The sequence below is a fragment of the Homo sapiens genome, chromosome 10 (assembly GCF_000001405.40).
Source record: "Homo sapiens chromosome 10, GRCh38.p14 Primary Assembly".
Lineage (NCBI taxonomy): Eukaryota > Metazoa > Chordata > Mammalia > Primates > Hominidae > Homo > Homo sapiens.
The window spans coordinates 17,734,788-17,762,097 of record NC_000010.11 but is presented as its reverse complement, the minus strand read 5'-3'; the positions used below and the strand labels follow the sequence as shown (position 1 = coordinate 17,762,097).

At 43.4% G+C, this 27,310-nt stretch overlaps 1 protein-coding gene across 1 annotated transcript in view; it reads right to left on the bottom strand.

The window, feature by feature from the left end:
- Positions 1-9,897, bottom strand: part of TMEM236 (transmembrane protein 236) — a 48,668-nt gene extending 38,771 nt beyond the window's left edge. Inside the window, exon 1 of the mRNA NM_001098844.3 lies at positions 9,546-9,897. Coding sequence (NP_001092314.1) covers positions 9,546-9,802 — 257 coding nt within the window. The 5' untranslated portion in view covers positions 9,803-9,897. The remainder of the gene's footprint in view (positions 1-9,545) is intronic.

Sequence of the window (27,310 nt, the reverse complement as noted above, 5' to 3'; positions counted from 1 at the left end):
GCAGTTTATATTATGCGAGCTGATGGGAGTGTTCAAAAAGCAATAGAAATGGGGAATTAGGCAGTAATGTGACAGCTCCTGGCCATGGAGAAAGAAAGGGCAGAGGAGGTGAAGTCTACAAAGTGGATGAGAAAGAGAGCTATATAGTGATAGGTATTGTTTCAACACAAGGTAATAAAGAAGGCTGTTCTACGAAGAGCCACAGAAAGTAGTGAGTTCTCTGTAGAATCAGAGGTATTTGTATTGTGAGAAATCATTTTGAAGACGAACAGTAAGAGTTTGCCCAGCTCCAGGATTCTGTGGAATAATGTCAATATTTGATTTACAAGCAAGGGGAAGAGGAGATTTTTAAGGGGTGCGGCTGAGATACAGAAAACTTCCTTTTCTTTTTTTTTTTTTTTTTTGAGACATAGTCTCACTCTGTCACCCAGGCTGGAGTGCAGTGGCACGATCTCAGCTCACTGCAAACTCTGCCTCCCGGGTTCCAGCGATTCTCCTGCCTCAGCCTCCTGAGTACCGGGGACTACAGGCATGAGCCACCACACCCAGCTAACTTTTGTATTTTTTAGTAGAGATGGGGTTCCACCATGTTGGCCAGGCTGGTTTTGAACTCCAGACCTCAAGTGATCCATCCGCCTCGGCCTCCCAAAGTGCTAGGATTACAGGTGTGAACCAGCACGCCTGGCCCAGAAAACTTTTTTTAAGGAGAGAATTACCTTATTGACAAGGACTGGGAGGGAATGCAGGGGGGAGAAAAGAAGCAAGAGGCAAGAAGACCAGTGGGTGAAGGTTGCCAGAGCCCAAACGTTAGTTAATGAAATGGTCTTCATTTTTCCTTGAACAGAAACAATCAGGACGAATCAGGTCTGACACTGGATTTGAATATATGAAAATTTGGGGGACCACGTCAGAAACTCAAGTTTTGATGGTCTGGAAATAAGGGCCTAATTGGGATGAGAGAAACAGCCATGGAGAACAAGGAGCTGATGCAAGAGAGAGGAAGAGGAAGAATTACCAGAATGTGGTGACTTCCTGCATAGGATAAGGAGAGAAAAGAAAAAGTAAATAAGCTCGTGCTGGTTTACAGTGTGATACGGCTTGGCTGGGTCTCTACCCAAATCTCATCTTGAATTGTAGCTCCCAGAATTCCCACATGTCATGGGAGGGACCTGGTGGGAGGTAATTGAATAATGGGGGCGGGTCTTTCCTGTGCTGTTCTTGTGACAGTGAATACGTTTCACGGATCTGATGGTTTTATAAAGGGGAGTTGCCCTGCACATGCACTCTTGCCTGCTGCCATGTAAGACATGACTTTACTCCTTATTTGCCTTCAGCCATTATTGTGAGGCCTCCCCAGCGATGTGGAACTGTGAGTCCATCAAACCTCTTTCCTTTATAAATTACCCAGTCTCAGGTATGTCTTTATTACCAGCATGAGAACAGACTAATACACTGGATATAGTAGGGCAAGGAAGATAAAGCCTGCAGTCAACTATGACAAAATTATTGATCTTTTTCATGTATAATGCCCAAGACCAAACTGTAAAGGAAATGTGGATAGCTTAAACTACGTGAAAAATAAAAATTCTCCATATCAAAAACACCAAAGTAAAATTAAAAGACTAATGATAACTCTGAAATGTATGCTACATCAAATTCAACATACTTATTGTTTGATGATCTTGTGCAATTTAAGCAAATGAACATCCTTAATGTTTACAGAACTCGTAAATCAGTAGCAAAAAAAAAAAATGGACATACCAACAGAAAAAGAGATCAAGGACAAAAATATATGATTTTTAGAAAATACAAATAGTCAATAAATCTATGAGAAAATGTTAAACATGGTAGATAACAGATTCACTAAGAGAAACTGGAGTGTTCTGAGAAGTAACTGGTAAGCAGCAGTGTTTAGTTAATGGGGTCTTACCAATTAATGATCTCTCAGAGGTGCTGAAAGGTGAGTTCCATTTCCTTCAGGTTAGCCCGTGTGTCCAGCAGTGCACAGATGTCACTAGTGCTGTGTGTTTCAGTTGTCAGGGCCAGCGCGGAGCAGTGAGGTGCTCAAGGCTCCCTCGGGGCAATCTTTTTTTTTTTTTTTTTTTTTTTTTTTTTGAGACGGAGTCTCGCTCTTTCGTCCAGGCCGGACTGCAGCGGCGCTATCTCGGCTCACTGCAAGCTCCGCCTCCCGGGTTCACGCCATTCTCCTGCCTCAGCCTCCCGAGTAGCTGGGACTATACAGGCGTCCACCACCACGCCCGGCTCATTTTTCTGTATTTTTAGTAGAGACGGGGTTTCACCGTGTTAGCCAGGATGGTCCCCTTGGGGCAGTCTTGACTCAACTACTCATTGGCTCTGTGATCTTCTAACTCCTGTGCCTCAATCTCCTCATTTCTAAAGGGGAGACTATCATTGTTCTTGCATATCAAGATTCGCAAATCAACTAAAATAATACAGACAATGTGTTTAAAATTATGCCTGGTACATAGTACTTGCTCAATAAATATTTGCTCTTACTTTACTGCAACTACAACAGCTACTACTACTATGATCACCACCACCGTTACCTAAAGCAGATCAAGAGCAAAATCTCATGGAATATGTTAAAACCTTAAGCCAGGTAAAATGTTGCCCAAAATGGTCTTTTAAACTTGCCCTGCCCAGGATTCCTGACGTGTTCATAGTCTGAATTAATTGTACTCCAAAGGACTCAAAAGAACACCCAAAATATAGCTCTAGGTCCCAAGACAGTCTGGGAACCTCCACAAATATTCTAGGATTATCCTACTGCCAATGTACCTTCTCAATGAAGATCTGCTCCAGTTTCAGGCTAGCCTTGTAGCTCAATGTTATCACACATCTACTGATATTCCAGGAAAATAACTCTCTTATTTCCTGGAATACACAGTTTGGTGTGTATATAAATAGCTTTCTTCATTCCCCCAACCATCTCACTTGTTTATTATGAATTCTGGCAGGCATCCCTAGAATGGAGCCATAATTCCAGAAAAATCAGGAAGTGTTAATGAGAGAAGGGGAAAGTACTGGATTAAAGTTCAGCCTCCAGTACATTTTAAGCTCTCTGAAATTGTTTCCTCCCTCATAAAATGGGAATTATGTCTGCTTGGTCAACTTTACAACACTGGCATGGAGGCCTAGTGAGAACATGAAATGAAAACCATAACATAATAAAACATAAATATGACATAAAATAACACATAATACCTCTGTTAATGTAAAACATTTCTGAGATACTAATGATCTCACCATTCTGGTGTTCATTCTTCTCAAAGAATAAAAGAAACCTACAAAATTCTCCAAAATCGAGGAATATTACTCACAGGATATATTTTCCTTCAGTTTTATTGCCACTTCTACCACTTTTCAGAGTCATTCTGAAGATTTAACACGATCACATTTTTAATGAAAATAGTAAATTCAGTTTGAGGTCATAACACTTATATTCAATGAATGATTACTACAGACCAGTTGCTATGCTAGGAACTTTACACGCATGATCTTATGAAATTTCTTAAAACAGCACTCCAAGAAAGAAACTAAGTTGTCTCTGTTTTGCTCACGAAAAAATTAAGGCTCAAAGAATTCAAATAACTCACATAAGGTTTCATGGTCAATGTCAAGGCTAGGATTTGAATCCAGGCCAGTTTTCCTTTACATATATTCCTGGGGCACACCATTTACTGACTGATGACTCACTCTCTCCTGAAGACCAGCCTCACAGGGCTCATGACACCAGCCTGGACCTTCAGGGAAGCTCTCAGATAAGCCTCATCAACATCAAATCATGAATGTTCAGGGTCTATGAAATTTCACATAAACAACTATTTGACTATTCCTCAAAAATAATTCATATGCTCAATCCTTACTTTGTCTAGTAGCAATTATTTTTGCATCATCTTCATGTAGCAATCAAGACATGACACCCTATATATTACCCCATATATTATAAGAGCCAAATGCACTCTGGGTGAAATTATGTTAATGACATTAAAAGCACTGCATTTTTCTGGCTGCACCTGGTGGCTTACGCCTGTAATCCCAGCACTTTGGGAGACCAAAGTGGGCGGATCACTTGAGGTCAGGAGTTGGAGACTAGCCTGGCCAATATGGTGAAACTGTGCCTCTACTAAAAATAAAAAAATTAGCCAGGCGTGGTGGCGCACACCTGTAATCCCAGCTACTCAGGAGGCTGAGATGAGACAATAGCTTAAACCCCAGAGGTGGAGGTTGCAGTGAGCGGATATCATGCCACTGCATTCTAGCCTGGGCAACAGAGTAAGACTTCATCTCAAAAAACACAAAACAAAACAAATAAACAAAAAAAGCATTGCATTTTTCTTGAAACACACCTGGCATTCAAAGTCAGAAAAAATAAAGGAAAAGAAAATTGTATGAGATACAGGAAATTGTATGGAATCAGACAGACCTAGGCTCACAAATCCTAGCTCCCCCATTACATAGCTTTTTTTTTTTTTTTTGAGACAGGGTTTTGCTGTGTGACCCAGGCTAGAGTGCAGTGGCATGATCTCAACACACTGCAGCCTTGATCTCCAGGGCTCAAGTGATCGTCCCCCTTTAGCTCCCAGAGCAGCTGAGACTACAGTCACGTACCACCATGCCTGGCTAATTTTTTAATTTTTTTGTAGAGACAGGGTCTCACTACGTTGCCTAGGCTGGTCTTGAACTCCTGTGCTCAAGCGATCCTCACACCTAAGCCTCTCAAAGTCTTGGGATTACAGGCAGGAGCTACCATGCCTGGCTCCACTTGCTAGCTTTATCAGTTGACAAAGTTAATTACTTCAAGTTTCAGTTTCTTTGTCTATAAAATGAGAACTTTAGCATGTACACTTCGCTGAGTTGTTGTAAAGTTTAAACTTAACAGTACAGAAGGTGTAAAGCTCCTAGAACAGTGCTCAGTGGCTGCTTCTCTTCTATGCCAGTAAAAGATAACTATATGATAATGCTCACGAATGTGGCCAGAAGGAAACAGTTTCAGTTTCACTGAAATTACAGATAACCTGTCCACTGTCTAAACACTATTTAAAACACGTGTGGCCAGCAACACCGGCAAAACAGAAACTAAAGACTGGAAGTGTATTTCCCAAAAGAAATCACTGAGAGATGTAGTCATGACAACCCGAAACACTTTAGCACAGGGGAGGTACCTGAGCCAGATGCACAACATGAAATCTGAACAGACACCAGAGATGACTGGTATACCACATGCACTAAGGGGCAGAAACAAAAGCCTACTCTGTTCCTTAACTCTCAATTGCCCCAGGAGAATGGGACCTTGTCCTTCAAAGAGGCAGTTTGGGACAGTGGCTAGAAGTACCCATTATGGAGTCAGGTAGACCTAGGTCCAAAGTCTGCCTCTTCCACTCTGTCTAGTTCACTGACTTTGGGAGAGCTGCTGAAACTCTCTAATCGGCAATTTTCTCTAGGCAATAATAACGATAAACTCATAAAAATTCTACTTTAGGCTGGGCACAGTGGTTCATGCCCGTAATCCCAGCACTTTGGGAGGCTGAGGCGGGCAGATCACTTGAGGTCAGGAGTTCGAGACCAGCCTGGCCAACATGGGGAAAATCCATCTCTACTAAAAATACAAAAATTAGTCGGGTGTGGTCGTGCACAACTGTAATCCCCACTACTCAGGAGGCTGAGGCAAGAGAATCGTGTGAACCTGGGAGGCAGAGGTACAGGGAGCCTAGATCGCTCCTCTGCACTCCAGCCTGGGCAACAGAGCTAGACTCCATCTCAAAAAGAAAAAAAATACTTTATGAGGTGAAGTAGATATTTCTCTGTCTTTTTGTTTTTCAGAGTTGGGGGTCTCCATCTGTCACCCAGGCTAGAGTGCAGTGGCACAATCATAGATCACTGCAGGCTCAAACTCCTGGGCTCAAGCCAACCTCTTGAATAGCTGGGACTACAGGCGTGCACCACCACATCCTGCTGATTTTGTAATGTTTTGTAGAGACGAGGTCTCACTATGTTGCCCAGGCTGATCTCTAACTCTGGGCTTCAATCAATCCTCCCACCTTGGCCTCCCAAAGTGTTGGGATTAAAGGTGTAAGCCACTGTGCCTGGCCTATGAAGTACGTGTTTCTGTACCACCTCATATCAGTACTTACATGGCACATAATCAGTGATCTATAAAGAATCAATTATAGCCTAATAATAATAACAGTAAGTTATATGGGAAGGTTTGCTGCCTAAATGACATTCAGAATCTAGAGTCTTAGGGATTTGAGTCAATGTGAAAACAAAAAACCAAAATACAAAAAAACCCAAGAGCTTCTTCCTGGGCTGTGGTGGGCCAGTTTCCCATTGGTTTATTCCTGTTGTCATTTGAACCTTCCACCATTCCCTCAAAATTCCAACCCAGCCAGGAATCTTGGACAGTCAAAGCCACCCCTACAGGGTGTGAGAGGTGGAGGGTCAAGCCCAGCTCCAAGCTACCCCTTAGGTGACCCTGGGGCTCTGGTCAAGGTTTGGAAAGCCCCTAAACCCTACTGATAAAAGCAGTGCCAACAACATAATGCTTTATTTCCAGAAACCCCTTAAGACCCCTGCTTTCGGGAAAATGAAAGTCTCCTGGCAAGGTTCGCAGAAGTAGCCACATCTGGGATCGGTACCTAAAGACAGCACCATGAACTTCACATGTCAGCTCTCCATCAGCATCCTCCCAACCTCAGCAATGGTATTTCTAGCTCTATTGCAGAGTCTATTATTTTTACATTTCTGCCCTTGCGTGGATGTGCAAATTCCCAGTGCCTCACTTTTCACATGTGTTCTATGTCATTCGCTTTCAAAATAAAACATCGGCCGGGAGCAGTGGCTTATGCCTATAATCCCAGCACTTTGGGAGGCCGAGGCAGGCAGATCACCTGAGGTCAGGAATTCAAGACCAGCATGGCCAACATGAAGAAACCCTGTCTCTATTAAAAATACAAAAAAAAAAAAAAACATTAGCCGGGAGTGGTGGCAGGACCCTGTAATCCCAGCAACTCAGGAGGCTGAGGCAGGATAATTGCTTGAACCCAGGAGGCGGAAGTTGCAGTGAGCTGAGATCGTGCCACTGCACTCCAGCCTGGACAATAAGAGTGAAACTCTGTCTCAAATAAATAAATAAATAAATAAATAAATAAAACATCAGTATGAAAGAAAAATTAGCTTATATTAACTTATTAAAGAAAAGAGAGAAGTCCAAGATGAGTAAGAATCAGATCTGAAGATCTAAAAGGAAAAATACATTAATATCAGAGACTATTTGTTCTCAATACCCTTATGTGGATCAGTATACCCATTAGCTAAACTGCTAGTTAAATTAACATTAAATCCTGATTTATTTAAAATATCTCTGTATTGTTATTGAAGTACTTTCCTCCCCTACAAGGGTAACAGAATTTACCAACACAGTAAATTATTTATTTTTAAAGTCTAAGTAGGCCAGCTTTGGCAGCTCACGCCTGTAATCTCAGCACTTTGGGAGGCCAAGACGGGTGGATTGTTTGAGCCCAGGAGTTTGGAACCAGCCTGAGCAATGTGGCAAAACCTCATCTTTATAAAAAACACAAAAAAAGTAGCCGGGTGTGGTGGTGTGCACCTGTAGTCCCAGCTACTCAGGAGGTCGAGGTAGGAGGATCACCTGAGCCCCCTGGGGAGGTTGAGGCTGCTGTGAGCAATGATCACGCCACTGCACTCCAACCTGGGCAACAGAGCCACACCCAGTCTCAAAATAAAAAATAAGTAAATAAAAAGTCTAAAGGAACCAGTTGTTTTAAAAGTCGTAGTTAATGGTCAAAGTATGACGTAAGCCTGCAAAATGCAATGTAAATAATTAAAAATAGACATTACTTTCAGTTTTACGCAAAATTAAAATTCTACATTACCATCTTCTGATTATGAGTTGTGTAAGCTCACTCCGATAAGTTTATGTAATTTAGTGTCCAGGAGAATTAAGTCCAACATTTACTACTTAGAATAGCATGAACTGGCACAAACTCCAGTCTTACTAACCCATCTCATGTGTTATTATCACTCAGTATAAATGACTGTAGAAAAATTAAGGAAGATACCATAATATCCATACATTCACAGAAGCAGTAATTGTAGCCTCCCATTAATGTCACATTCTATCCTTACGCTCTGCTCACATCCTTACCCACAGTATGTTAGAACATATCTTTCAGGAATACTTATACACTGTTAGTGGGAGTCTAAATTAGTTTAACCATTGTGGAAGACAGTGTGGTGATTCCTCAAAGACCTAAAGACAGAAATACCATTCGACTCAGCAATTTCAATACTGGGTATATACCCAAAGGAATATAAATCATTCTATTATACAGACACATGCACCCGTATGTTCGTTGCAGTACTATTCACAATGGCAAAGACAGGAAACCAACCTAAATGCCCATCAGTGATAGAATGGATAAAGAAAATGTGGCATATATACTTTATCGAATGCTATGCAATCATGAAAAAGAACAAGATCATGTCCTTTGCAGGGACATGGATGGAGCTGGAGGCCATTACTTTTAGCAAACTAACGCAGGAACAGAAAACCAAATCCCACATGTTCTCATTTATAAGTGGGAGCTAAATGATGAGAACACATGCACACACAGAGGGGAACAACACACACCGGGGCCTTCCAGAGGGTGAACGGTGGGAGGGAGAGGATCAGGAAAAACAACTAATAGGTACTAGGCTTAATACCTGGGTGATGAAATAATCTGTACGACAAATCCCCATGACACAAGTTAACCTATGTAACAAACCTGCACTTAAAAGTTAAAAGTCAAACAACAGACAAACAAACAAATATATCTTTGAAAGCATCACGGGGATTCCCTGCTAAGGAATTCTTTTACAGGCTGGGCGTGTTGGCTCACTCCTGTAATCCTAGCACTTTGGGAGGCCAAGATGGGTGGATCATTTGAGGTCAGGAGCTCGGGACCAGCCTGGCTAACATGAAAACCCCGTCTCTACTAAAAGTACAAAACTTAGCTGGGCATGGTGGTGCATGCCGGTGAAATAATCTGTACAACAAACCCCTAATGACACAAGTTAACTTATGTAACAAACCTGCGCTTTTACCCCTGAACTTTAAAGTTAAAACAAACAACAAACAAAAAAACAAACAAACAAACGTATCTTTGACAGCATCATGGGGATTCCCTACTAAAGAATTCTTCTACAGGCCGGGCATTGTGGCTTCTGCCTGTAATCCTAGTACTTTGGGAGGCTGAGGCAGGCAGATCACTTGAGGTCAGGAGTTCAAGACTAGCCTGGCCAACATGGCAAAAACCCGTCTCTACTAAAAATGCAAAAATAAGCCAGGTGTGGTGGTGTGCGACTGTAATCCCAGCTACTCAGGAGGCTGAGGCAGGAGAATCACTTGAACCCAGGAGGCGGACGTTGCAGTGAGCCAAGACTGCCCTACTGCACTCCAGCCTGGGTGACAGAGCGAGACTCCAAATCAAAAAGAAAAAAAAGAAAATTCTTTTACTTACCATCCTTTAATTTTTCTGTAAATATAACGTTTCTTGTGCAGGATAACTTTTACAGGAACCCAGATCAGTAGAGTCACTAACGCAACATAGGCAATAGAACAGGAGATGATCAGCCAGTAGTGTGTGTTGTCAGATCTAGCCCTTGTTCCTTGGTAGGCGGTGGCAAACTGTTCTGTGATCACGAGTGTGGGGATGGAGAAAGCGGCAAACTCTAGGAGCTCAAAAACCACGAACTTAATGAGCCTTCCAGAAGCCATCCTGAGGAAAAGCAAGCTGCCAAGAACCTGGGACTCCCTCTTTGACTGTGGGCAGCATATGGACCCACAGACACTGAACTGGGATCAAGTTCCTTGTCCTCGAATCGCTAACCAGTGACTTTTTATTCTTTTATTGACCCTCATATGGTTCAATGATCTCCTAACTTAACAACCGTGGTCTCTTAAAGGAACAGGACCATTGTGGAAGTGATCACTCAACATATTTGCACATCCATTATTAGAAGTCAAATGAACTTTAGAGCATGCCCGGGAGCATGGGTAAAAGCAGGGTTTTAAAAAGGTGTTTATTGCTAACGTTAGCACAAAACCATTTGTGTGATAGTCAATTCTTGTTAAGTAAAACTGCTGGAATAATATAATTTTAGAGTTAAAGGGGAATAGATAGAATCCAACCCTCTATTTTTACATAAAAGCAAATTCAGGCAAAGGGAGATACTCAAACCTAAGTCTTCATCTTGGAAAACCATCCCTCCCTTTCAAGTGCTTGAAAAGGGAGTTTGTATTCACTTTATCAACTCTCTAACCAGGATTCTCCCTAATACTTAAGATATTTATTCATTATTGTGCATTAGTTGCCATATAACACAAATTAATGTTATTTTTGTTTTGCTGCACAGGAAACTGAAATGGTGACATTAGAAGCCTGTTATCAAGATTTACACATTAACAGCTATCTGTGACTAGCTCAAATGCATATCAAATGTTTAAAGAATGACAATTGTCTCCATGAATATCCTTCCTTTGAAAAACATACTTGAGACCGGGCATGGTGGCTCACACCTGTAATCCCAGCACTTTGGGAGGCTGAAGCGGGCAGATCACCTGAGGTCAGGAGTTCGAGACCAGCCTGGCCAACATGGTGAAACCTCGTCTCTACTAAAAAATACAAAAATTAAGGCCAGGCACGGTGGCCCACACCCGTAATCCCAGCACTTTGGGAGGCTGAAGCAGGCAGATCACCTGAGGTCAGGAGTTCAAGATCAGCCTGACCAACATGGTGAAACCCCATCTGCACAAAAAACGAAAAAAATACAAAATTAGACGGGTGTGGTGGTGCATGCCTGTAATCCCAGCTACTTGGGAGGCTGAGGCACGAGAATCGCTTGAATCTGGGAGGTGCGGAGGTTGCAGTGAACCGAGATTGCACCATTACAATCTAGCCTGGGCAACAAGAGCGAAACTCCGTCTCAAAAAAAAAAAAAAAAAGCAAAAATTAGAGGGGCGTGGTGGCACATGCCTGTAATCCAGCTACTTGGGAGGCTAAGGCAGAAGAATCACTTCAACCAAGGAGGCTGAGGTTGCAGTGAGCTGAGATCATGCCACTGCACTCCAGCCTAGGCAACAGAGCAAGACACCTTCTCAAAAAAAAAAAAAAAAAAAAGAAAAGAAAAACATACTAGAGCACTTACAATGAGCATTTTAGTATGTGTTAGGGTGTGAAGATGAATGAATGACAGCAGTTCCTGTTCTGAAAGTGCTTGAGGTCCAATGGAGGAGATAAAATGAGGAACCACAACAAAAAACCAAGGCCAGAAGAGTGTAAATGAAGTGCTACAGGGACACAGGTGAACTTCACCTTGCTTCACCTTGGGGTTGTGGGAAGAGGATGGGCACATAAGCACGGTCAGGATGGACGGGGGCACTGTGGTGTCGGTGACATTTCAGACACAGCCAAGGAGGCTGCAGGGGTTAGTGAAAATCTGGTGTGGCACAGCAGGAAACAGGAGGAGGCAATGTTAGAAAAATAGTTTGGGGGCCAGGTGGGGTGGCTCATACCTGTAACCCCAGCACTTTAGGAGGTCAAGGTGGGTTGATAGCTTGAGGAGGCCAGGAGTTTGAGACCAGCCTGGGCAACATGGTGAAACCTCTTCTTTACAAAAAATACAAAAATTAGCCAGGCACGGTGTCGCTTGCCTGTGGTCTCAGTTACTCCAGAGGCTGAGGTGGGAGGATTGCTTGAGCCTGGGAGGTTGAGGCTGCAGTGATCTGTGATCGTGCCACAGCACTCCAGCCTGAGCAACAGAGCGAGACCCTATCTCAAAACAACAACAACAAAATAGGTTGAGGTAAGAATGGCGTGTCCCATTAAGGATTTGGTGGGGGTGTGTAGCCGGCAGTGAAAAAGCAAGGTTTTCTGAACACAGCAGTCCTTTGGTCATCTGGAAAGGAGGTTCAATGCTGATGTGGAGGAAGGACAGAGCAGTGTTACCCTGGAGGCAGGAGTACAGCTGGGAACCAGAGAGGAGCCTGGGCTAGAGGTAAGAGCCCCCTGGCCAACACAAATGGAGCGGGAGTGATGAGGGAGGCGACGCAGCAGCAGACATTGAGCCCCGTCCCTTCTGTGGCTTTCCCTGTACCTGCTGTCACACTGATGCAGACCTGTATTTCTCTAGGCTTCTCTCTCTCAAGGCCCCCGGCAGAAGGGGCCCTGCGCTGCTGGACTTCCAGGGTGCATCGGAGGCTCCTGGTGTGGCCCTGAGGATTGATGCCTTCTGCCCTCCCACTGCCAGACAATTAGTCAGCAGGTTCTTCAAGCCATCTAGTTATGTTATTTGAACTTGGATTTTGAATCCATTGAAGTTTAGCAGAAGTTCTTTCAAGCCAAAGAAGAGACTGAGAGGAACAATGATAAAATATGAAAGGATGGGGTGGAGGCCCATCTGAGCAGCGGTTCTGTCGTCGACTACTTTTTTTTTTTTTTTTTTGAAGCGGAGTCTCACTCTGTCACCCAGGCTGGAGTGCAATGGCACAATCTCAGCTCACTGCAACCTCCACCTCCCGGGTTCAAGCGATTCTTCTGACTCAACCTCCCGAGTACCTGGGACTACAGACATGCGCCAGCATGCCCGGCTAATTTTTGTATTTTTAGTAGAGACAGGGTTTTGCTATGTTGCCCAGGCTGGTCTCGAACTCCTGACCTCAGGTGATCCACCCACCTCGGCCTCCAAAGTGCTGGGATTACAGGTGTGAGCCACTGCACCCAGTTGTCAACTACTTCTAATAACTTATCACTGACATCAATTGTCAGTATCATCCCTGATGAAAATGCCTATTTAAATGATACTGGATATGAATTATATTTTAACCTCCTAACAGTCCATCTTGAGTCACTAGCACTCTGTTGAATCATAATTTCTGCTACAAATTTTGTGTATGAATAAGAATTATTGAGCATTTGAAGAGAGTTATTGAATAGCTTGACTCTGGAGAAAGAAGTCTCTTACCCAGGCCTAAAATTCCATTTTGAATGCTCAATTTTTATTTCCATTTATGAGAATTTAAAACTGGCACTAGCTTTCTATTTCCCGCCTGTAACATTCCTCTGATTCATAATCTTCCTCCACCTTTATTTTTTTAATTTTTTGAGACAGAGTCTCGCTCTGTCTCCCAGGTTGGAGTGCAGTGGTGCAATCTCAGCTCACTGCAACCTCTGTCTCCTGGGTTCAAACGATTCTCCTGCCTCAGCCTCCCTAATAGCTGGGATTACAAGCACCCATCACCACACCTGGCTAATTTTTGTATTTTTAGTAGAGACGAGGTTTCATCCTATTGGCCAGGGTGGTCTCGAACTCCTGGCCTCAAGTGATCCACCCACCTCGGCCTCCCAAAGTGCTGGGATTACAGGTGTGAGCCACTGCTTCCGGTCACCTTTACAAGATTACCCCATGAGTGTTAGCACTCATGTGACGTGACCTGTGACCAGTGTTTTCTACCTCCTGGAATGCCCTGGTCACTGGCTGTGGTTTCTTTAGGAGGAAGGCTGTGATTCTCACTTTCTGCCTGCCACAAGTCCAACTCCATGTAAAGAAACAGTTGCATGTGTTCGCATTGTCCTTTGAACACTTCCTGCGTGCAGATCACGGCAGTCCCTGTTAACTCACGTTCTGCTTAGGGAGATAACACAAGTGCCCCGCAAAGACCCGAGGACACTGGTGGAGTAAGTACTCTGGGCGAGTTAGGACTGGGAAGGGTGACCTGCCCACAGTCCATCTCCCTTCTTCAGCCACATCTTCTTGAATGAATGGGTCCTGGGCCATAGAGTGTCCAGCCATCTATGTGTAGCCTGGCACAAACCAGGTCAATCGGATTCTCACCCTTAGGAATTTGAACTCAGAAACATGGGGAGAATTTGGTAAGTGGAGCTAAAGAAGGTCATGAGTTTGAGTCAGAATTAGAGCAAGCCAAACTCTACGGGCTGGAACCTCCACTCCTGGCATGTTGTCAATTCTATCTGATGAATGAACAAATAGAAGCCAGGCGGGGAGGGAATAGAAGAGTGAGTTGAGCAAGGAACCTGGGAGTGAGAAGGCTAGGACAGATCAACAGGGAGAAGCAAGCATGCCAAGAAAGACCAGTCTTTACAGGTGTCTGAGTTGTTGAACTTTCCAGCTCACATGTGCCCTTACAAAAGGTGGTCTTTCTTCTTTGCTAGAGAAAGGGCTTGAGAATAAGACAAAGGAGTGTGTTTATGAGCAGAGGCCAAATACCATTCAGAAACCCCATGGAAAATTACCAGAAAATACAGGGGAAAGGATGGAAAAAACTCACAGTTTATCAGAGAAGCCTTCTCAGAGGAGGTAAGCTTTGTATCAGTCTTTCTGTTGACTCAAAGCGGTAGCTGTATATTGCTACAGCAATTTTCTCTGTATAGTGTAATAATATTTCCTTTGAAAAATTGTTCTGGCTGGGTGCAGTGAAATACTGCAATCCCAGTATTTTGGGAGGCCAAGGTGAGAGGATTGCTTGAGGCCAAGAGTCTCAGACAAGCCTGGGCAACATGGCAAGACCCTGTCTTTACCAAAAAAAAAAAAAAAAAAATTAAAAATTTAGCCAGGCATTGTGGCATGCACCTATAGTCCCAGCTATTAGGGAGGCTGAGGTGGGAGGATTGCTTGAGCCCAGGGGTTCGAGGCTGCAGTGCACTTTGATTGCACCTGTGAACAGCAAATACATTCTAGCCTGTGGTAACAGAGGGAAACCCTGCCTCTAAAAATAATAATGATTTTTTTCAAGGAAAAATAGTTCTAAGAATGTTCATGATGTAGTAAGATAGGGAAGAGGGTGGGACAGAGAAGCAAGATACAGATACTATGTCTAACAACATCAGTGGTACAATCTTTTTGATTTCAAATATTGTAGTTGTAGGTTTCTACGTAAATTTTAAAATCCAGGAAGATACTTGTCAAACTGTTCACAGGGCTGTCCCTAGAGCATGGGTGAAGTGGGGTGGAGGGAGTTCAATAACAATTTTGTGCTTTTTTTTAAAATCTATCCTCCACCAATTTGATTTCCCTTACTTTATAGAAGCCAAATAATCAAACTGCACTTCAATTATCCTTTTAACGGTAGTACCTAAGAGCAGCGAAATAGTCAAGAGGCAAGCAGAAGACAGGAGACAGGTTTGAACCACTGTTTTCTGGCTGGGCCTTTGGGTGGAATTGGATCATCCTCTCCTGCTTTCATAGGAAAAGGCTGAAAAGGGAAGCTTCATCCTTCTACAGACCCTTGTTTTCTCTCCTGCTCCTCTGTGCAACCTTTTCTTACTCTGCTTTTCCAAGCGGAATTAAGTCATCCCTCCTTTCTCAAAACACCTTTTTTTTTTTTTTTTGAGACAGAGTCTTGCTCCGTCACCTGGGCTGAAGTGTAGTGGCGCAATCTCGGCTCACTGCAACCTCCGCCTCCCAGGCTCAAGCGATTCTCCTGCCTCAGCCTCCAGAGTAGCTGAGATTATAGGCATCAGTCACTATGCCCAGCTAATTTTTGTATTTTAGTAGAGATGGGGTTTCGCCATGTTGGCTAGGCTGGTCTCGAGCTCCTGACCTCAAGTGATCCACCCGCCTCAGCCTCCCAAAGTGCTGGGATTACAGGCGTGAGTCACTGTGCCCAGGCTCAAAACATCTTTTGGATACTTGTAGGGTAGCACAAATGATAAAATGTTCTTATACCATTCATTTACACACTGGGTCCCTCACAAAACCGTGAGCTCCTGGAAGGCAGAGAGCATCTGCTTTTCATCTGTGCATCCTCATTTCTCAGCACAGTGCCAAGCACACAACGGTCCCTTAATATGTATTCCTGGAAAAAAGGAATGCACAAGAGAAGTATAAGAGAAGTGGAGACGGCCAGGCATAGTGGCTCATGCCTGTAATCCCAGCACTTTGGGAGGCTGAGGTGGGCAGATTGCTTGAGCCCAGGAGTTCAAGACCAACCTGGACAACATGGCAAAACCCCATCTCTATGAAAAATACAAAAATTATCTGGGCATGGAGGTGTGTGCCTGTAGTCCCAGCTACTCAGGAGACTGAAGAGGAAGCATCGCTTGAGCCCAGGAGGTTGAGCTATGATTGCGCCACTGCACTCCAAACCTGGGCAACAGAGACCCCGTCCTCCTTCCAACTCAAAAAGAGAGAGAGAAGTGGTGAGTTAGGAATAAAAATTAGAAAAAAAAATTAAAGAAATAAGAATACGGCAGAGAAAAAAAAATAGACAGAAGTAGGCAGCAGAAGGAATGTGAAGGGATTTGATCATGGTTAACTCTTTTTTTATTCCAAGGGAGAGTGAGCTGTCTCCCACGCTGACATTTCAGAAGGAGAAATCATGTTCTATGAGTCTCAATTCAATCTACTCACTCAGTCTACAGGCTTCAATTTCCTCGCTCGCTCCTCCTTACCCTTGCAATGCTTGGCTCCAAATAAAGCTACCAGATCTCTTTCTCCACAGCATGGCTCCTTGGGGTCTCAAGGTAAAAGAGAAAAGACAAAGTCGCTGTGGATTGCAGAACTGATTAATCTCGTGATGCCTGTTGAAAAAGACTATGACCCTTTTCAAGCATTCACCACGGCTTCATAGATGGGAGTGCTACAATATTTCCCCAGCCTTCTCCAATCTGTGGGCCCTCAGAAAATGCACACGCCCTAATGGGTTTGCACCATTAATGAAGGAGACTGGAGAGGACTGTCTGGTATTTCTCTGACCCGAGGCATGGCCTTCAATTATGTCAGAGTCTTCAGCCCTTTTAAGGTGTCATTTGCCTGAGTTTCACAGAAAGGATTATGAAGCAGCGAAGGTTCCTTCATGAGGGATAGAGCAACTAGCGACCTTGGCAAAGAAAAAGAAAGCTATTATGCCAACACTAAGCTACTGGGAGGAAATAATCCCAGACCCCTGACTTGGAGACAAAGACAACGGGAGATGAAAGAGGGTTTAAGATCACCTACCTACCCTTCAGCTGGGACCCGTTTACTCCAATCCTGATTCCTGCCCTTCTAAGTCCTCTGATAAGTGTGCCATGCAGTTGTACTGTGGTAACTGGAAAGACATGGAAGGGGACATTTTCAAACCACCCAGATTCTTTACTTGGATTAACCCAGTACTGATTCGAGGAACTCTGCGCCTTACTTTGCTCTTTAATGCTGGGTTTAACAGCTTCCTGGTAGGAAACAGATTTGGGTTTCTGAAGCTGGATCCGTGGTGAAAAGACTGAGCCTTGTGGTTAGAGTTCACTTCCATGTAGGAGTGTTGATGCAGTGTTTTTTATTTTAGTAAGCAGAAGATATCATTCTGTGCAGGGGAACACCTGTTCTCCACACTTCCAACTGTCATTTCCTTCCTGCAGGCAGGAAGTCAAAAATCGAGTCTCTAAAATTGTTAGGAAGATCATTTGTAATCTCAAGGTTTGCTCATTGTTTTCAGTGTAGGGTCTGTGAAACACAATGTACAAACTGCCAGGAATGTTCTGGCATATCCGTGGTTTGTTTCCTGTGATCTTATGATGTGCAAAAAGACAGGAGCTAGTGGCAGTGAAACTGCTCTTGGGATGGAGCTGAATGTACATAGAGCCTAGGGAAGAAGTGAAAGTAGGTTCCGGGGCCTGGTTTACTGATTATTTGAAATTTCCAGAGTTGCTGATCATCGCACGCAGGCATGACCAATCAATCACTTGAAGAGAATTTAGTAAGATGATATTACTATCTGATATAAGCCCCCTTGACCAATTTCATGCTATCATAGTCCAGATTATGCTAAATATATACTATAGGAAAAAGTATTATTTCATCTGTTTGGCTATCAAATAAGCAACTTTGTAAAAGCAAAGGTGACAGTGTATTCACTTTTGTGGCCCTTTTATAACTGGTGACTCTATTGTTGTTTTTTTTTTTGTTTTTGTTTTTGTTTCTTGAGACGGAGTCTCGCTGTGTCACCCAGGCTGGAGTGCAGTGGCGCAATCTCAGCTCACTGCAAGCTCCGCTTCCTGGGTTCAGGCCATTCTCCTGCCTCAGCCTCCTGAGTAGCTGGGACTACAGGTGCCCACCACCAAGCCCAGCTAAATTTTTGTATTTTTAGTAGAGACGGGGTTTCACCGTGTTAGCCAGGATGGTCTCGATCTCCTGACCTTGTGATCTGCCCTCCTGGGCCTCCCAAAGTGCTGGGATTACAGGTGTGAGCCACCACGCCTGGCCGACTCTGTTCTTGAAATTAACAAAATGTATAGGAAATCCTTACTTAAAAAAAAAATTATGCTCCCTTAAAATGTCATTCCATTAAAATTTCCCAGATCTTAAAAGGGAAAGAAAGTGAATTAAAATTTCCGACTCCACTATGTAGTCATCACACAAATTGTGTGTGTGGTAATGTGTAAATGAGCTAGAAATTTTTAAAAAACTGTATTAAAGGAAAAAAGGAAGTCCCTTCACTGTTTGCAACAATTCTCAAATTTTATTTTTCAAGGGACTAAAACAAGTTAGCCTTTTGGTATTCCAGAGTAACAAATTTAAACAGACAAAAATGTAGGTTCAGGCCTAATCAATTAGCATAAATTCATCCCAAAGTTCACAAGGATGCTTTAAACTAAATTTCCCACATCTTCACTGTTGAGGACTTAATAAGTTTGCAACTCTCCAATTCTTCCGTACGTAACTTAAAATATCTTAAAATAACTATTAGTAGTCCTGCCCACCATATATTCACAAAGTAAGCAAAAATGATAATTGTGCAGTTAATGTGATCACTGTAGATAAAAGTTAAAATTTCTAGCCGGGTGCGGTGGCTCATGCCTGTAATTCCAGCATTTTGGGAGGCCAAGGCGGGCGGATCACCTGAGGTCGGGAGTGGTGAGCCAAGATCGCGCCATTGCACTCCAGCCTGGGCAAAAAGAGCAAAAATCCGTCTCAAGAAAAAAAAAAAAAAAAAATTCTGAGTGATCTGCCTGTATGCAGTGCTTCCTTACTCCACTGGGTGGCGCAGGTTTGGTTTTGTTCTGTTTTCATCACAATTTTTGAGTTGATACCCACATATACGTATGTATTTTTTTGGGACACGGTTTCACTCTGTTGTCCAGACTGGAGTGCGGTGGCGCGATCTCGGCTGACTGCAACCTCTAACTCCGGGGTTCAAGCGATTCTCCTGCCTCAACCTCCCGAATAGCTGGGATTATAGGCATGCACCACCATGCCCGACTAATTTTGTATTTTTAGTAGAGACGGGGTTTCACCATGTTGGCCAGGCTGGTCTCAAACTCCTGACCTCAAGTGATCTGCCTGCCTCGGCCTCCCAAAGTGCTGGGATTGCAGGTGTGAGCCAATGTGCCTGGCCTTGAGTTGATATTTTAAAAGATATTATAGGCTTGAAATCTTCCAACCTTAATTATTCCTTTTTAAAATTTAGGCTATTAAGTTGTGAGTCTTGTGGAGGATCATACGCCATCTTGAACTATGTAAATTTGGCTCATTTAGTTTGATATTTAGTGAGGTACGTCAGAGCTCATCTCAAAAGCCACTTAGATCAAAGCCCTAGGCTTCACCATAATTTTCCAGGCCTTCCACGATCTCTCCCCTACCACCTCTCTCTCTGACTAAATTTCCTCTCTCCTTGTCCTCCTCAATATTCTTCAAACACACCAAGCATAAAGGCTTCTGTTAGACTTTGCCCTGTTATTCTCTTGGCCTGGAAAACTCCCCAGAGATATCCAAAAAGCCAACCGCCTCCCGTTCTTCAGGTCTTAAGTGACATCTTCTCATGAGATAATTTATCTAAAATTTCATCAACTCCCCCAGCTTCCTATCCCTCTTTCTGCCTCATTTTTATCATGTAACACTATCTAACATAATATTTTACTTTTATGTTACTTGCCTGTCTCCCTCAAACTGAAATGTAAGTTTCTTGACAGCAGGAATTTTTACCAATTTTTTTTCCTTGAGACGGAGTTTCGTTTTTCTTGCCCAGGCTAGAGTGCAATGGTACGGTCTGGGCTCACTGCAACCTCCGCCTCCTGGGTTCAAGCAATTCTCCTGCCTCAGCCTCCCAAGTAGCTGGGATTACAGGCGCCCGCCACCATGCCCGGCTAATTTTTTTGTATTTTTAATAGAAACAGGGTCTCACCATGTTAGCCAGTCTGGTCTTGAACTCTTGACCTCAGGTGATCTGCCTGCCTCACCCTCCCTAAGTGCTGGGATTACAGATGTGAGCCACCGTGACTGGGCACCAATTTTTTTTTGAGACAAGGTCTCACTCTGTTGCCAGGCTGGAGTGTAGTAGTGCAATCCTAGCTCACTGCAGCCTTGAAATCCTGGGCTCAAGTCATCCTCCCACCTCAGCCTCTTAAGTAACTGGGACTTAGGTGGTGCATATCACCACCTTAGCCACCTCCTGCCTAATTTTTATTTAGTAGATACAGGGTCTCGCCATATTGCCCAGGCTGGTCTCAAACTCCTATCTTCAAGTGATGCTCCCACCTCAACCTCCCAAAATGCTAGGACTATAGGCATGAGTCTAATTTTGTTTGTTTGTTTGTTTGTTTTTTAATAGTTTAAGCACAGAGAATGGGCCAGTTGTTATTCAGGAAATTTTACCTGAACCTCCAGGTTGAGCACACGAGTTCAAGACCAGCCTGGGCAACATGGTGAGACTCCATCTCCACAGAATATCAAAAACTGGCCACACGTGGTGGTACACGCCTGTAGCCCAGCTACTCAGGATGCTGAGGTGGGAGGATTGATTAAGCCCAGGAGGTCAAGGCTGCAGTGAACTATGATCATGCCACTGTATTCCAGTCTGGGCAATAGAGTGAGATCCCGTCTCAAAAAAAAATAAATTACAATAAAATTCATTTAAAAATTGAGCAGACATTTATTGCAATTCATGAATCAGGACAGCATCTCATTCTATAAAATAGTATAAAAACCTTGACGAGTAGAGCAGAAGAGACTGGCTGTATAGACAGAAAAGGGCTGAAGAGAGCAGAAATAAGAAACGAATAGCAGATATGGTCTTTTAATAATTACTTTATAAGTTTACATCAGAGGGGGCCTCCTTAGCATGTTGGCTCAGGTACACTGGGCCCCTTCTGATTGGCTGCTATAAATCTCCAGGTGTTTGGAAAACTTCTCAAAGTTCAATTTGATGACATGGCACTTTCAACTTTCAACTGGTGACTGCATTTGGGTTTAGTCTGATCTGCTGGGAGCCTAGATCAAAATAATGGCCTCCCATAAATTTCATTCAACACTAGTCTAGCTGGATTCTTTCAAAGGTCCTAATGGAAATACACTAAATTTGCTACAAAACACTGAGATAACCAAAGACCAGATCTAATTACCCAGCTGCAAGCAGTATTGGTCCCTATTTCTTCTTATCATACTTACATTCTAACCTTGTGCTATAGTTTCACATGCATATTTCTCTTATTCATTTTACTTCCTTAAAGGTGGTGACAGTATCTTGTGTTGGGGGAATCCCAAGACCACCACCCGTTTCAATAAATGTGTAGGAATCACAGGAGTCAGATATGATTGTACTCAGGGCTATGATTTTTTACACTGAAAGAACTTGAAGGAAAATCAGCAAAGGGAAATGGCACAGGTGATGAAGTCCATGGGAAACAGGGTACCAGTTTGCACAAGTCCTCTCCCAGTTGAGTCAAACAGGACCTGTTGAGTTCCCGCAGCAATGGGCCATGACAACACATGAAATGTTGCCACCAGGAAAGCTCCTCAGTGACTCGGTGCCCATGGTTTTTACGGGGCGCTGGTCGCCAAGGCACATTCTGCCTGGAACCCACCAAACTTCCAGACTCCCAGAAGGCAAGCAGGTGTTCAGCATAAACCACATCATTGACGCAAATCATTTAGGCACAGTGAGCCACTCTTATCAATTCTGGGAATTGTGGGAACCCTCCCGAAATTTAAGTTCCCAGACGCCAGCCAAGGGCCAACTTTGTAAACAGGCCTTTCAAAAGACAGCAGTCCAGCCTGCTCAGTTAACTGTTTTCTGTCCACTTACTCAATGTTAGATCCTTCTAGTGGTTAAACATCTGCTAAATTCTATTTTGACCTTTATATCATTGTTAAAATGAAACAATGGGAATTAAATGAAAACATCATACATACCAACAATTAGTTACACTTTTAAACTGTTTGCATGTATATTTTTTAAAACTGTATCTTGCCATTTGAGTATATTTTTTGTTCCTATATTATTTAAGCATGGATAAGCCAATTTAATGTAAACACCTAGTCATCATCGTAAGTACAGAAGTAAACAAAATGTAATGGTTTAAATCACCACCAAAGAGGTAGTGGCCCAGGTATGACTTCTATTTTCAACATTTATGTATGATCTGACTTAAGGTATTTAAATTAATCTATATGACCCTCCTCTGTAATAACAATAATACTTTGGACTTACAGTACAAGGCCAGCATCAGACTGTTGATGGATTGATTCAGGCTAGTAATAAACCTACTAGTCTCAATAATTTAAAATATTTGGATGACTGGGAGCCGGGTATGGTGGTGTGCCCCTATAGGCTCAGCTACTTAAGAGGCTGAGGTGGGAGGATCACTTGAGCCTAGGAGTTCAAGACCAGCCTGGGCAACATGGCAAGACCCTGTCTCTTTTAAAAAAACAAAAATTTTTTTGAGTGACTGGACAACTCTAATTGCTGGTAGGATCCAAGCCTACTGATGCTAACAGATATTTCAGCAAGACTCTGGTGGAGTCTGAAGTAAGCCCCTGTGGCTCACCAGGGGGTTGTAAGAATGACTTCTGCTGTGCCATGACAGGGCCCAAAATGATGCTCTACAAATCAGACACTGTGTCCTTGGGAAGAGAAGAAAGCGAAGTGAAACGTCTGCCTTGGCAGATCACCAGTGACTTTTATCATCTTTTTTCTCCCTGGAAGATGCCAATGACCACAATCTACAAAATCCTGCCTAGTGTGTTTCCTTAACAGACTCCACTCTATTGCAAAGGACTCGTATATGCTTAAAGGAAAGCACAGAGGTTCCTTTGATTTTGACTTGGAATATAACTGGTTCCTCTTCACAGCTCCTGGCTATCATGGGAATAATGAGACAAGAGGCTCAACTGGTAGGATGGGGCAAGATTAGGGGAAGCCTTGAAATCTAGGCTGGAGAGTTTTAAACCAACTCTAGGATAGAGGTTCATAAGAAAGGCTACAGAAAAGAGTTCTAGGCCGGGTGTGGTGGCTCATGCCTGTAATCCCAGCACTTTGGGAGGCGGGCAGATCACCTGAGGTCAGGAGTTTGAGACCACCCTGGCCAACACGGCAAAACTCCATCTTTACTAAAATTACAAAAAAAAAAAAAAATATCAAGGCATGGTGGTGGGCACCTATAATCCCAGCTACTCAGGAGGCTGAGGCAGGAGAATCTCTTGAACCTAGGAGGCAGAGGTTGCAGTGAGCCGAGATCGTGTCACTGCACTCCAGCCTGGGTGATACAGCGAGAGTCCGTCTGAAAAAAAAAAAAAAAGAGTTCTAAAGGGTCCCTGAAACACCTGAAATTATACGTAAACCTCTGGGCAGGAGTATTTTTCTAGTGAAAGGGTCCCTAGCTTTCCTCAATTTTCAAAGGTAATTGTGACCTCAGAATGTCTGTGAAGCTTTACACCAAGTAGGTGAAGACACTTGTTGGAAAGGAGGAGGCTGCATAGTATCAGTGTTTCCCAAACTAGTGTGACCTAAGGACTCCTGCGGGGGTGGGGAGGCACCTGCTAATTATAGCTTTCCAGTCCCATCCCAGATTGACTCAATCAGAATCTGCAGGCAAAAGGCCTGGGAATCTGTATTTTACCAAGTACCCCTCTGATGTCGTTTGGAAAATAGAGGACTTGGGCATCTTTAAAATCCATATGTCAGGTTAAACATTTCACAACTCCCGGATTTTTATGGGCCTATTTCTATTGGTAAAGGCCTGCAGTACTCTATTTCTTGAGGGTTGCTAGGAAAATGGCCCCTCAGGGGCTCACTTCTGATGCTTTCAGAAGACGTGGCTCTGAAGTTCCCTGCATCTAATTCTCTTCTCCGGAAAATTCAAATTGAACCATTTTAAAAATCTTGATCCACATTATAATTCATTATGTGAATCTCTAACAGAAAATTAAGACATAAAGGCAACAGCTACCCCTTGTCTAGCATACGGCCTATAGCATGACCATCCTTCTAATTCTGCGGAGAAACATCAGCCCCTGCTCTTTAATTGTTGAGAAAACCCAGAATGGTCCACATATTAAGGAAATAAAATTGTAAAAATCGGTGCATTCCAGATGTCATGAGAAAACAGTGAATCATAAATGAACTGTCCTGCAGCGTTATGTTTTTTCCCAAATAATCTGTCTGAAGTCTAGATCATCTTCCGTTAAATGGCTAATTTGGATTTTTCAAGAGTCAATCTCAGCAGCGCCACCTACTGATAATTTAAATTCAGTACTTTATGTAAATTCTTAGCAATGTACACAGCAAATTAACTCGAAAGAACCTAGAACATGTTTTGGGTTTTCATAAAATAATAGGCATGGTAATATAACTGCCAGAGGAAAAATTTAATGTTTTTGCAGGTGGTGAGCTAGACAATGCCTGCTTCAATTGAGTATGTCTCCAGCATGCTGGCTCTCCTCCACTTCTCTCCCTGTCCTCAATATTTCCCCATCACTCTGTATTCGAGTTGGGTTTGGCCAGTGAGAGGACTGGCAGGAGGCCAAAGGGCAGCAGGAGAAGCGAGGGTGTTGATTCCCTTGTCCCTCTTTCCCACTCACTGTGCCAGTTTCAGCTCTGTCAGTCCATCCCTCCTCCTAGGCCCAGCAATCACTGTACACACTTGCCGCTGAACGCTTGCTCCTTTGGGCCCAGGGTGGTGACAGTTGAGGGTGTCTGTTCCCTTGGCCTTCAGTAAGTAGTTCTTTCAGAAAAGCCTGTCCCCTGAAGCTCCTGAGTGTGATTCTCCAGGGCTCTGGAGACCCAGCTTGCATACGGTGAAGTGGAACTGGCCACCCACTCAACATTTATAAAGTGAATATTGCAAAAATGATTGCTCCTGGTGTAATAGCAGATAATAAAGATTCCATTATTTTCTGCGAGAAGCTTAAATTTACACACATGAAGGGGATTAGGGTTGACAAAAACCATTTTTAAGGGATGTGATTCAGCATAACTACTTAAATTTCTATACACAATTTTATTAATCTTAGGTATTGAATAGGTAGAACTTTGGACCAAGTATGTCTCTATAGTTCCCCGCAGAAGTCTGACCTAGTTTACTACCATCAGGTTAGAACGCTAAGGTTTATTTAAACAATCTTAAATAAGCAAACTAAAAACCTGGAACCAATTCTTTAACCTACACTTAATGTAGACTTCCACATTCTAATGAGACATTCTTACATGCAAATGCTTAATCTGGAGTCCTCCTGTGGGACACGCACACACACATGGAGAGAGAAAAATACAAAATTCTCCATTAGTGCAAGACCCTGGAGAACAAGGACCTGATTCATTCTCCCCTGTGGCCTCCAGCATTCTCAGGAGGGGCTTCCCACACAGCAGAGACTGAATCAATTGTTCAGTGACAAGATGGGAGACAGCACACCATGGCGGACACAAGCACAAAGGTTGCCTAGGTTTGTACCCCAGCTATGCCACCTGCTGGATGAACTTGGGCAAATAATTAATCTCTCTGTGCCTCAGTCTCCTCACCTATGGCAGGGGGTTATTAGTATCATCCTAGTTTCAATGAGTTATTTGAAAAGCACTTAGACTGGTGCCTGTCCCATAGTAAGGACAAGATAAGAGCATGTTGAATAAATAAAGGGATGGTATTTTTCACATCACCTGGAGCCACTGTAGCTGGAAGGGCCTTTAAGAGAGATATAATTTTTTCATTTTATTTTATTTATTTAAATATTTATTTATTTATTTATTTTTGAGATGGAGTTTCACTCTTGTTGCCCAGGCTGGAGTGCAATGGCATGATCTTGGCTCACTGCAACCTTCGCCGCCCAGGTTCAAGCAATTCTTCTGCCTCAGCCTCCTGAATAGCTGGGATTATAGGCACGCACCACCATGCCTGGCTAATTTCTGTATTTTTTTTTTTTTTTTTTTTTTAGTATAGGCAGGGTTTCACCACATTGGCCAGGCTGGTCTTGAACTCCTGACCTCAGGCGATCCACCGCCTCAGCCTCCCAAAGTGCTGCGATTACAGGCACGAGCCACCATAGCCAGCCAATTTTCTCATTTTAGAGATAAGACTGAGGCCTAGAAAAGGTGAATTCAGTAAGCCGCTGCGAAAGGTGTGATCAGCTCACTCCTAGGAAGATCTGCTTGTTGATACACATATTTTATAAATCAATGGGAATAATTTTATCCGACAAAACAAAAATCCCTGCCCCTGACCCTAGGGAATGAAAAAACATGGGCTTCCACCCCTATTCTGGGAAAGGTTTAGTCATAAGTGGATTAACTTTTGTTCCACAAGAAACGACTTTTTGACTTTATTATTACTATCCAACACAACTGTCAAGACCTATGAAGGCAAGCTGAAAAGTCAGCCGGCCACAGTTCCCGGAATGCTGACAGAAGGCACAGAGGCATGGCTCCAAGACAAAGAACTACGCTACTCACAGCGTTAGCAGGAGCCAGAGTATCATTTCCTGTGCCAGTTCCTCAAGCACAGGGAAGATAAGAAGGGCAAGTGACAAGGGCAAAGGCAGTGAGCTGCAGAACAAAACAGGAGCCCTGAGCTCCATCTCTCAGTCTTTCATCACGGTCAGCCTGCCTGCGCTTTGCTCTAAAGAGAGACACTAACTCCATCTTCCAAGGATGTAAACAAACCTGTCCCTTGCTCCAGAAGGAGACGCTATGTGTATCTCCCAAGGTTGTGTGCCATACAAATATCCTGGAAAAGACGGCCTAGAAAAAGCACTGTCATTTTCTCTGCTTGCAAGATGTGCAAGAACTATGGAGGATTATCTCCCAACCATTTCTACCTTTCGCTTCTACATCATTAAGTTTTTGGCAAATTTTTCCATGCATACGCCGATCCGTCAGCCACTATGATTAATCTGTCTGACAGAGGCTGGGGCCCAATCTGTTCCATGGCACATTTAATTAAAACTACCACCAACACACTGCAAGCAGTAGGATAAGGCCAACTTCAACCATGCCCCAGTGGCCTGGACTCAGCCACTTAACTCTCAC